General features: G+C 48.6%; 1 long non-coding RNA gene across 1 annotated transcript in view, besides 2 other annotated features; it reads left to right on the top strand.

Annotated features, from left to right (window-relative positions):
- Window positions 1-12,207, top strand: part of MIR34AHG (MIR34A host gene) — a 34,328-nt gene that overhangs the window by 1,828 nt on the left and 20,293 nt on the right. The window lies entirely within an intron of this gene.
- Window positions 9,978-10,477: an enhancer, noted in NCBI's record as "H3K4me1 hESC enhancer chr1:9230093-9230592 (GRCh37/hg19 assembly coordinates)". NCBI's record gives its function as "activates a minimal SCP1, AML or CMV promoter by ChIP-STARR-seq in naive and primed H9 embryonic stem cells {active_cell/tissue: H9 hESC(naive and primed)}" and the evidence as "EXISTENCE:reporter gene assay evidence [ECO:0000049][PMID:30033119]".
- Window positions 10,478-10,979: an enhancer, noted in NCBI's record as "H3K4me1 hESC enhancer chr1:9229591-9230092 (GRCh37/hg19 assembly coordinates)". NCBI's record gives its function as "activates a minimal SCP1, AML or CMV promoter by ChIP-STARR-seq in primed H9 embryonic stem cells {active_cell/tissue: H9 hESC(primed)}" and the evidence as "EXISTENCE:reporter gene assay evidence [ECO:0000049][PMID:30033119]".

Below are 12,207 nucleotides of genomic sequence, written 5' to 3'. Positions count from 1 at the left end.
CTGCCCTTGGTTATAGGATACACTACCTCCAGCTAGAGGTTATCAGATCTGTGCATAAGAAAATAACTAGGCGGGACTCATTCATTCATGCGACAAATATTTACAGAGTCCTTGCTATACGCAATGAGTCATTGAGGAGAAACCTACAGAAGGATGAGGGGGACGGCTTTTCAGGCAGAAGGGTTAGTAAGTGCAAAGGCCCTGTGTTTGGTGCATTGGAGAAATTGCAAGAAAGCGGGTGAGACTGAAGATCAACTCGTGATACTTGGTAATGAATATCACATGAAAACAAGGAAGTTTTCTTGTCTAGCTCTGAAATTTGCCTTGGTTGGCAGATCCTTCCTTCCCAGAGAGCACACATCAGTACTGCAGCTACAGCTGTCTGTCTGACATACTTGTAAGAACGAACTGTTTAGTGCAGGCTCTGGGAGGCAGTGCCATGCGGGTCACTGACATACATGGTGCCAATCATTTTTCTCCATTCGTAAGGCACCTCAGGACCCCACTGGGGCCCCAGTGTTCCAGTAAGGATACGGGTTTTGAGTTAAGGACCCGCCTTCCAGCTCCGTCTCTGTCACTAGCTGTGCTAATTTGGAAATAGGACTTCCTTTCCTGGCTTTGGTTCCTCATCTATAAAAATTGCCCTTATGTTAGGACCTACTTGGTAGACGCATGAGATAAAATAATTCGAGAATGTGCATAAACCAGGGAGCAGGGTGCTGTGGCAACTATTAGGTAGCATCAGTGATAAAGCACTTTGCTTTCATGGATATTTTATGTGTTCACTAAATCAGAACTTTCCTCTATGCTGATGTAGTCTAGTGAGGTCTGGGGAGTTTCTTGTTTGATTTTGCATTGCAAATATTCCTCTCTTCCCCTCCCTAAAAAACCACTGCTTTTTTTTTTTTTTTTTTTTTTTTTCTGAGACAGGGCCTCACTCTGTCACCCAGGCTGGAGTGCAGTGGCACAACCGTAGCTCACTGGAACCTGGAACTCCTGAGCTCAAGCGATCATCCCGCCTCAGCATCCTGAGTAGCTAGCACTACAGGCATATGTCACCATGCCCAGCTAATTTTTAAATTTTCTGTTGAGATGGGATCTTACCATGTTTCCCAGGTTGGTCTCAACCTCCTGGGCTCAAGTGATCCTCCCGCCCCAGCCTCCCAAAGTGCTGGGATTACAGGTGTGAGCCACCTCGCCCAGCCTACATTTTTTTTTTTCATTAACTAGTATTGCAAATATTTAAATGGAGTAAAATGCCTTGAGTTGATGCCAAAAGGAAAAATAAGGGTCTATAAGGGGATCCATTCTGACTGAAGCATGACACGGTTTGAGTACGCCCTCTCCCGTGTCCCTGGCTGTGGGTTACCACGCCTGGGGCAGGCAGTGGCACCTGGGGAAGGCTTGGCAGAAGCTCCTGCCTCTCACGCTCATAGACCTTTTGACCCACCAGGCTCACCCCAGGGCCCCGCTCTGACCTCCGTGGCACCAGGTGACTCTTACTCTGCACTGTCATTTGGGGCCCTCAGCCATCCCACCTCACCCCACACGGTCCCAGCAGCTCCTGCCCGATTCCCATGCCTCCTCTGGACAGAGAGCTCACACTCCTCTTGCCAGATCAGTAACTCCTTATGAGGAAGATGGTTTCCATACTCAGTAGATGGCACAGTGGGGGCAGCAAGGGAGGGTCTGCCAGAGGAGACAGAGCTGGCCTGACAGTGGTGGGGGTTGGGGGTGTCTGTTGACTTGTTGAACCAAATTGATTCCTAGTCCTGGCATTAAACATCCTGCGAGGCTGTCACCTCATCTCAAACAAGATTAGTTAAAACGGACTTGAATTGAAAGTGGGTAAGACTGCTGTCGCTGTCACCCCCTGTTACTCTGCAATCCACCACCAGTGAGGGGTGAAGCGAGTTTAAAATCCTGGGCCACATGGTCGACCACTGATCAGTCCTCGTCCATGATCACCACAAGGAGAGTGGTGGTGAACTGGCTTCCCAAACCCCAAAGCAAATAGAAAGCCCTCACCTTCAGGGCTGGGTGCGGTGGCTCACCTGTAATCCCAGCACTTTGGGGTGCTGAGGTGGGCGGATCACTTGAGGCCAGGAGTTCGAGACCAGCCTGGACAACATGGTGAAACCCCTGTCTCTACTAAAAATGCAAAAATTAGCTGGGCGTCATGGTGCGCGCCTGTAATCCCAGCTACTTGGGAGGCTGAGGCAGAAGAATCGCTTGAACCCGGAAGGCAGAGGTTGCAGTGAGCCGAGATCATGCCACTGCTGCACTCCAGCCTGAGTGACAGAGCGAGACTGTGTCTCAAAGAAAAACACAAAAAGAAATCCCTCACCTCCAGCCTGAAAGACAGAAAAATAGTTCTTGATAATTTGCTGAGAAAAAAAACATTGTTGAATTTATCACAACCTGGCCACCACCCAGCCACCCCCTGCCCTGGACACCCAGCCTCATAGTGCTGGGTGGGAGGTAGAGAGACCCTGCTGGCATTGGAGGACAGCTGCGATGGTCTTTTAGGGAGAAGGTGAGACAGGCCCAAAGTAATACAGTCGAGCCTCTTTACCTGGGGGTTCCACATCAGCTGATTCAGCCAGCCTAGGGTCCAAAATGTTTGAAAAAGCAAAAATAAATAATAATACAACAATAAAAAATAATATAAAAGGGCCGGCTGTGGTGGATCATGCGTGTAATCCCAGCACCTATGGAGGCCAAGACTGGAGGATTGCTTGAGCTCAGGAGTTGGAGTCCAGTCTGGGCAACATAGCAAGACCCCTGTCTAATAAAAAAATAATAATACAAATTAAAAAACCATGCGGTATAACAACTATTCACATGGCATTTACATGGTATTAAATATTATAAGTAATCTAGAAATGATTTAAAGTGTGTGGAAAGGCCAGGAGCAGTGGCTGACGCCTGTAATCCCAGAACTTTGAGAGGCCAAGGTGGGTGGATCACCTGAGGTCAGGAGTTCGAGACCAGCCTGGCCAACATGGTGAAACCCCGTCTGTACTAAAAATGCAAAAATCAGCCAGGTGTGGTGGCAGGTGCCTGTAATCCCAGATAATCGGGAGGCTGAGGCGGTAGAATCGCTTGAACCTGGGAGGCGGAGGTTGCAGTGGCTGAGATGGCGCCATTGCACTCCAGCCTGGGCGACAAGAGCAAAACTCCATCTCAAAATAAATAAATATGGTGGCGCGTGCCTGTAATCCCAGCTACTCAGGAAGCTGAGGCAGGAGAATTGCTTGAACCCCGTAGGTAGAGGTTGCAGTGAACTGAGATTGCACCACTGGAAGTGACAGAGTAAGATGTATGTGGAGGATGTGTGTAGTTATATACAAATACCACACAATTGTATAAAAGGCGCTTGAGCATCCTCAGATTTTGGTATTCACAGGGATCCTGGGACCAATCCCCCGGGACATTGAGAGACAACTATATTTCAGACCAGGTATAATTCTCGTTTGTTCTCTTCCCTTTTGGTCTCAGGCATAATACTTTGCCCGCTGCCCCACAGCTCTGAGCCTACACTGTGGGGCCTGGTAACTCTCCAGAATGCCTCAACTTTGACACCTAACAAGGACTGTCCTATCCCTTCAAATGCTGTTGAACCCTAAAATACTTCAAAACTTCTGTTCCCTTAGACCCACTTATAAGCCACATCATTCCACACTGAATTTTTTAAAAAACAGCAAACACTTCCCTGCCTCTCATTCTCTCCCCTTCATAAAGAATCACACCTTCTCCAAATGCTGCCAGATTCGCACGCTTTGATGGCACACACAGCACACATTATGTTCATTTAAGTGAATTATTTCCAGTTAAGCCCAATTACCATACGAAAGGCTCACACTTGTGCTTGTCCTTAAATGTGTGTCAAATTAACTTTGTTAGAGGTTGTTTTTAAGGCAGTGGAGAAATATAAAGAACAGTTTCTGGGAGTTAGTTGGCACTTGTTTTTTTTTTTTTTTTTTTTTTTTTTTTTGAGACAGGGTCTCCCTCTGTTGCCCAGGCTGGAGTGCCGTGGTGCGATCTCGGCTCACTGCAGCCTTGACCTCCCCAGGCTCAAGTGATCCTCCCACCTCAGCCTTCCAAGTAGCTGGGACTTTACATGTGCACCACACCCAACTAATTTTTTAAATTTTTCGTAGGGGCAGTGTCTCATTATGTTGCCCAGGCTGGTCTTCATTTTACCCCTTCATTATCTCAGTAGTGCATGACCAGAATATAACACCTCTCAATCCATTTTCTTTTGTTTTTTAATAAGAAAAAAAATAATAATTTTAGGCCGGGCGCTGTGGCTTACATCTGTAATCCCAGAACTTTGGGAGGCCAAGGCGGGTGGATCACTTGAGGTCAGGAATTCCAGACCAGCCTGGGCAACATGGTGAAACCCTGTCTCTATTAAAAATATAAAAATTAGCCAGGCACGGTGGTGTGCATCTGTGATCCCAGCTACTCAGTGGGCTGAGGTAGGAGAATCACTTGAACCCAGGAGGCAGAGGTTGCAGTGAACCGAGACCACACCATTGCACTCCAGCCTGGGTGAAAGAGTGAGACTTCATCTCAAAAAAAAAAAAAAAAAATTTTAAAGGTGGTATCTCACTCTGTCACCCAGGCTAGTCTCAAATTCCTGGCCTCAAGCAGTCCTCCCGCCTCAGCTCAACCTGTTTTCTTATCCTAAAATAAATCATTCCTGTCCTGCCTACCTCCCAGAGTCTCTAGGAGGATCACACAAGATGGGTCCTTATTCCCAAATCCTCCCTGATACACCTCATGTTCAAAGCTCTGTCCTCCAGGTACAATAGCTAGACAGCTCATTGCCACCCTGATGGTCTTTACAGTCTGGTCAGGACAACAGAAGGTAAATAACTAATGCACAAATAGCCAACATTGACTGAATACTCGCAGTATGCTCAGCCCTTACTGTAAAGTGCTAAGCAGTTTACAAATATTACCTTATTTCATCCCTATACTAGTCCTCTGAGGTGGCTGCTATTGTTCCCATGTTTACACATAGGAAACTGAGGCTTAGAGGGGTTATGTTGATGGGCACATGCGTGATCATGGTAGAGCCTGGCTTGAACATGTGTAGTATGACCCAGTGTCTGTGGACATGATCATGGTGCTTCTGTCAAGGTGCAGGGTGACAGGCACGAGAACCATAAACCGCACACTTGTCCGGGACTGTTGTCATGGCCACATCTTCATTATCATCATCAGATTAGTTTTCTATTGCTGCGTAACAGAGGACTACAAAGTAGCTTAGGAAACACACATTTATTATCGCACAGTTTCTGTGGGTCAGGAGTCTGGGCACAGTTTAGCTGGGTCCTGTGTAAGGCTGCCATTAAGGTCTAAGCCAGGGCTGGGGTCTCATCTGGTGACTCAGCTGGGGAAAGATCCTCTTCCAAGCTCACTCAGGTTGTTGGTGGAATTTATCTCGTTGCGGTTGGACGACTGGAGTCCTTGGCTTCTTGCTGGCTGTTGATTGGCACTGCTCTCAGCTCCTAGAGTCCGCCCGCAGGCCTTTGCCTTGTAGCCCCCTCCCTAGGCTCTCCCACAGCATGGCAGCTTGTTTCTTTAAAGCCAGTGAGGGAGAGTGTCTTCAGCACGAGCCTGCTAGCAGGAGAGGGAATCTTATATAACGCAGCGCAATCCTTGAGTGACACTCTGCCGTCCATGCCATATTCTGTTGGCTAGAAGCCAGTTACGGGTCTTGCCCATACTAAAGGAGGGGGTCACACAAAGGCATGAACACCATGAGGCAGTGGCCATAGGGGCCACCTTATCATTTGTCGCCCACAATTTCTACCTTCATTTGTGCTTGTCCTTAAATATGTGTCAAATGAACTTTGTTAGAAATTGTATGTAAGTCAGTGGAGAAATAGAAAAAACATTGGGAGTGACAGTGTTCCTGATGGTTTCTTGTCGTGTCAACAACTTACAAGAACATTTAGGATGCCAGCAGCGTGTCTGACATGTTTTTTATTCCCTCCTGGATTCCATGGACCTGCCCTCTGGGGAGTTAATACAGTCAGGGTTGCTTCTATGGTTAAATCATCCCCAGGAGTTTACAGAAGAGGAACTGAGCCACGGGATCTTGAGACAGAGCAACAAGGGAAGAGAGAGCCCAGTGTTGAATTTAGGCATTTGGTAAAAACTTTAAAATTCATCCACTTATTTATTGATTCCTCAGTTCATCTGTGCATGTGTTCATATATCCAGCACGTTCCAGTGACTTCCTTCTGTATGGTGTGTTCAGTACTGTGCTGGTGTTGACACAAACGTGGCTGTGTCCCTACCGTGTCCAGGGCAGAGTTAACAGATAGGAGAGGTGGGACACCTCTGCCTGGGACACTGTGGGTGGCTTCATTCCCTTTGGGCGTGGGGACCATCCTGGAGTCCACTGCAGGCACAAGCAGGCAAAGGGAACAGCAGGTAGGAGTGCAGAGGTTCTGAGGGCAGGTGTGGGGCAACCCCATGGGGCTCAGTCATGCCTCAGGGCAGGTAGGGGGCCAGAAGCAGTGGCCACTGCACCCTGCCTCCTCACTTCACTAGGAAAATGGGAGGGAGCGGGATGTCACCCCTTGAGGTGGTTTGTCTTTGGGGCACAAGATACCTCTGAACAGGAGCCTCAACACCAGGCAGACAGGTTCCTGGGAAACCTTGAGTGTTTTATTTTTATTTTATTTTATTTTATTTTGAGACAGAGTCTCATTGCGACTCCCAGGCTGGAGTGCAATGGCATGATCTCAGCTCACTGCAACCTCCGCTTCCCAGGTTCAAGCGATTCTCCTGCCTCAGCCTTGCAAGTGGCTGGGATTACAGGTGCATGCCACCACGCCTGGCTAATTTTTGTATTTTTAGTAGAAACGAGGTTTGACCATGTTGGCCAGGCTGGTCTTGAACTCGTGACCTCAAGTGACCCACCTGCCTTAGTCTCCCAAAATGTTGGGATTACAGGCGTGAGCCACCGCACCCAGCAAGTGTTTTAGACAGCTAAAGATTCATCCTGGCTGGGTGCGGTGCCTCATGCCTGTAATCCCAGCACTTTGGGAGGCTGAGGAGGGAGGATTGCTTGAGCCCAGGAGTTCGAGACCAGCCTGGGCAACACGGCGAAACACTGTCTCTACAAAAAAATCAAAAAAGATGAAGCAGGAGGATTATTTGAGCCCTGGAGGTTGAGGCTGCAGTGAGCCATGACTGTGCCACTGCACTCCCTCCTGGGTGACAGAGCGGGACCCTGCCTCAAAAAAAAAAAAAAAAAAAAAATTCCTCCCTGTACCGGCACTTTTCAATTGTTTCGTTTTTGGTTGGAAGTCTTTCCAGAATATAATTCATGCTTCCCTCTTCTTAAAACAGAATAAACACAATTTTACCTGGCCTCAGGTGGCAGGGCTTTTTTAAGTGTCACGAATGTGGTTTATAGAATTTCCATTTCTTCTCTTGTTCTCTTTCTCTCACTTGTCTTTCCTTGTTCTTGCCGGTGAATCTGATTTCAGCAAACCTTTCCCTCCCTTCCAAGTTGCTGCTTCTAAATTACTGTGGGGTCAGGAACCCTCATTCCTATTTAGGTTAAGATTTTGAAATAAGACCATCTTGGATGATCTGGGTGAGCCCTAAGACAGGTGTCCTTAGAAACAGAGGCAGAAGGAAATTTAAGACAGTCAGAAGAGGAGAAAACACAGACACACAGAGAAGGCCACTGAAAGACAGAGGCAGAGACTGGAGTGATGCAGCCAGCCCAGGAATGCTGGGACAGCCACCAAAGGTAAAAAGAGACAAGGGAGGCTTCTTCAGGCTGGATATGGTGGGTCGTGCCTGTAATCCCAGCACTTTTGGGAGGCTGAGGCAGGTGGATCATCTGAGGTCACGAGTTCGAGACCAGCCTGGCCAACATGGTGAAACCCCATCTCTACTAAAAATACAAAAATTAGCCAGGCGTGGTGGCGTGCACCTGTAATCCCAGCTACTCGGAAGGCTGGGGCAGAATTGCTTGAACCTGGGAGGCGGAGATTGCAGTGAGCCAAGATCATGCCACTGCACTCCAGCCTGGGCGACAGAGTGAGACTCTGTGAAAAAAAAATAAAAAATGAGTTCATACAGTGGAGTTCAAGGGCAAGCTGGGCCTCACCCCAATGTCAGAATGAGGGGCCAGAGGTCATTTGGAAACAAAGCATTGCTTTGATTCATCACTTTCCTTTAGCTTAGCTTTAGTTGTGCTATTTACTTGATATTGAATTTCAGCTGTGAAGTTGGGAGTGGAGTGAGTGTTTATCCAAGGAGAGTATTGATTAACAGAATATGAGATATTAACAAAACACCATGTTGAGGGTAACAGTATGTTCTGAGGAGGGACAGGAACTTGAGCGCAGGAGTTTGAGCTGCTCAGAGACTTTCTTTTTTTTAAGACAGTGTCTTGCTTTGTTGCTCAGGCTGGAGTGCAGTGGGGTGATCATGGCTTACTGTAGCCTTGACTTCCCAGACTCAAGCCGTCCTCCCACTTTAGCCTCCCAAGTAGCTGGGACTATAGGCATGTGCCACCATGCCTGGCTAATTTTTTTTTTTTTTTGTAGAGATGGGTTTCGCCATGTTGCCCAGGCTGGTCTTGAACTCCTGGGCTCAAGCGATCCACTCACCTCAGCCTCTCAACGTGCTGTGATTACAGGCATGAGCCACCAAAGTGCTGTGATTACAGGCATAAGCCACCGTGCCCAGCCCAGAGGCTGCTTTCCTACCCTGTCTCTCTGTAACAACCCCATTGCAGTTGTGAATGAGCTTATTCGTGACTCCAGGAGTATAATAATTTCCTGTGGCTGCTGGATGGCTTAAATTATTCTCTCACAGTTCTGGAGGCCAGAAATCTGAAATCCAGCAGGGCCATACTCCCACTGGAGGCTCTAGGGAAGAAGCCTCCCTTGTCTCTCTTTAGCTTTGGTGACTGTCCCAGCATTCCTGGGCTGGTGGCTGCATCACTCCAGTCTCTGCCTCTTTCAGTGGCCTTCTCTGTGTGTCTGTGTCTTCTCCTCTTCTGACTGTCTTAAATTTCCTTCTGCCTCTGTTTCTAAGGACACCTGTCTTCGGGCTCACCCAGATCATCCAAGATGGTCTCATCTCATAATCTTAATCAGCTCCGCAAAGACCCACATGCTCTGGTTGCAGGGATTTGATGTGGCTATCTCTCCAGGGTGTTTTTCAGTCCACTGCAATGAGTGACGCAGTAAAAGAATGAAGAACAGTGCCTGACGCGTAGTGGGGCCGCTGTTGATATTGCTATTGCTGCTGTTTTTGGATTACTTCTCATCCTTTCATTCATTCACTGGTTATCCAGGTATTGGCCCTGGCTCCCCATCATGCTAGGTGCCAAGGGGGAATAAGTGAAGTGAGGCACCCTGACCCACGAGGGGATGATGCCCCATGTTGCTGGATATCTGAGGTCCCACAGTACAATGGACTGTCCTGGCTGAGCCTACAAACCTGCCACACTTATGGTATTGTGACTTTGGGGCGTGGCATTCCTAGTTGCAAGCAGCCAACTTGCCAAATAACCTTGTGAAAAGTCCAAATCATTGTCAACTTATGAATTAGGTGTACTTGGCCGGGCACGGTAGCTCACGCCTGTAATCTCAGCACTTTGGGAGGCCGAGGTGGGTGGATCACCTGAGGTCAGGAGTTCGAGACCAGCCTGACCAACATGGTGAAATCCTGTCTCTACTAAAAATACAAAAAATTAGCCACGCGTGGTGGCGGGTGCCTGTAATCCCAGCTACTCGGGAGGCTGAGGCAGGAGAATCACTTGAACCCAGGAGTGGAGATTGCTGTGAGCTGAGATCGTGCTACTGCACTCCAGCCTGGGTGACAGAGCAAGTCTCAGTTTTAAAAAAAAATTAGGTGTACTCAAAGATGGTCTGAAATGGAAGTGTGACTCCCTGCAGTTACAGTTTTGTTTTTTTATAATTTTTTTGAGACAGAGTCTCACACTGTCACCTGGGCTGGAGTGCAATGGCATGATATCGGCTCACTGCAACCTCCACTTCCCAGGTTCAAGCGATTCTCCTGCCTCAACCTCCTGAGTAGCTGGGACTGCAGGTGTCTGCCACCACACCTGGCTAATTTTTTGTATTTTTAGTGGAGATGGGGTTTCACCATGTTAGCCAGAATGGTCTCGATCTCTTGACCTTGTGATCCACCTGCCTCGGCCTCCCAAAGTGCTGGGATTACAGTCATGAGCCACAGCGCTCGGCCCCAGTTACAGTTTTTAAAGCACTTTCCCATCTGCTGCCTCACCTGTGTTTTCTGGGCTGACGACAGACTAAACACCTGAGGCTCAGCCTGATCATTAAGCTCTTGAAGGATTGGAACGTGCGGTCCGCTGACAGCGCAGGCTGGCTGGCAGCGCTGCCCGTCTTTTTTTGCCCACTCCTCCTCCTGTGCTTTCTCAACAGACCTTTACTGGCACTCACTATGTCCTGTCTGCTGGGCTAGGTGCTGGGAGTAGGAACAGGAAGCTGACACTCAGTCTGGTGAGAGGGAGGTACAAGCGAGTTGGCCACCATGATGCAGGGAGACGTGTGATGCTTGGGGTGGGCACTGGGAGCCCATAGCTGAGTGAGGGGGGTTGTAGGGCGCTTAACCGAGGCCTGAAGGATGAGTAAGAGTTACTTGTGAAGCTAGAAGGGTGGGGCCTCAAGGCAGAGAGGCTGGCCCCAGAAGGCCTGGGGGGCATAGAGCCAGCATCTGAGTGAGGAGGGCCCTGGTCTGTGAGCTCAGGGACACCTCCCCTTATGCTGCCTGCCTCCACCCAATCTCCTTCAGTGAGCTGGTTTGTGGCTGAAATTCAGCCATTAGAGCTTCATTCTTTTGGCTTAAGCCAGATAGAAAATGTATTCCAGTCCTGGCACCATGGCTCACGCCTATAATCCCAGCACTTTGGGAGGCCGAGGCGGGTGGATCACCTGAGGTCAGGAGTTTAAGACCAGCCTGGCCAACATGGGGAAACCCCGTGTCTGCAAAAATACAAAAATTAGCCGGGTGTGGTGGTGCACACCTGTAATCCCAGCTACTTGGGAGGCTGAAGCAGGAGAATCACTTGAACCCGGGAGGCAGAGGTTGCAGTGAGCCAAGAGCATGTCATTGCACTCCAGCCTGGGCAACAGAGCGAGCCTCTGTCTCAAAAAAAGAAAAGAAAAGAAAATGTATTCCATATTCAAATGCAGAATCCACTGAAGATGAGTCTCCTGCGGCACCAACCCATTCCACATCAGGGCATCTGGTATTTACCCAAGGGTAGGTTTTGCCATGAACCAGGGGTCAGGCAAGGGCCAAAGACACCGAGTACTTGTAGATGTGATTGGAAAGCAAATCATCTCTATATGGGGACAGGAAGAGAGAGGACAGCGCTTGGTGGTCCACACATGTTCCTTGGGCCAGCCGTGGGCTATCCCCCCACATTCAGACATTGGGTCCTGACACTCTTTATAAAAACACTCTGTGTTGAGTCCCTTCCCTGTGGATGGAAGGAAGTAGGTTTCCTCCAGGAACGCATGGCCCAGTGTGGTGAACTTGTATCTGCTTGGCTCCTGTCTCTTCCACTGCCTGCTCCCTTGCATCCCAGATCACTGGTTCACCCCCAGGTCTGGCAGCCTTTACAGAGTACCAGGACCCCGGATGGGGGCTACAGGGAACTGTGCTTCTCCCATGTGACCCAGAGAGGCAGCAAAGGGACTTCTCCATCTAGCCCACTGGAAACATTGCTTTTATTTGCCTTTGCACCATATATTCTTTTTTTAATTTTTTTTTATTTTTTAGAGACAGGGTTTCACCATGTTGCCCCGGCTGGTTTCGAACTCCTGGGCTCAAGTGATCTGCCGGCCTTGGCCTCCCAAAGTTCTGGGATTACAGGTATGAGCCACTGTGCTCAGCCCTGCACCATATATTCTTGAACTAAAGACACATACACACACGCATGCACACACACACACACACACTTTAGATTATTTTGAATATTATCAACCTATCCATTTTCCTTGACATTTTTCAATGTATAGTATGTCCTCAAAATATGATGTTATGCCCACATTGCATTTATTTTATTTTATTTTTAGAGACAGGGTCTTGCTCTGTTGCTCAGGCTGGAGTACAGTGGTGTGATCATAGCCTACTGCAGCCTCAAAATCCTGGGTTCAAGCGATC

The sequence above is a fragment of the Homo sapiens genome, chromosome 1, assembly GCF_000001405.40.
Source record: "Homo sapiens chromosome 1, GRCh38.p14 Primary Assembly".
Lineage (NCBI taxonomy): Eukaryota > Metazoa > Chordata > Mammalia > Primates > Hominidae > Homo > Homo sapiens.
The sequence above is the reverse complement of the archived record's forward strand: the minus strand, read 5'-3'. Positions and strand labels throughout refer to the sequence as shown.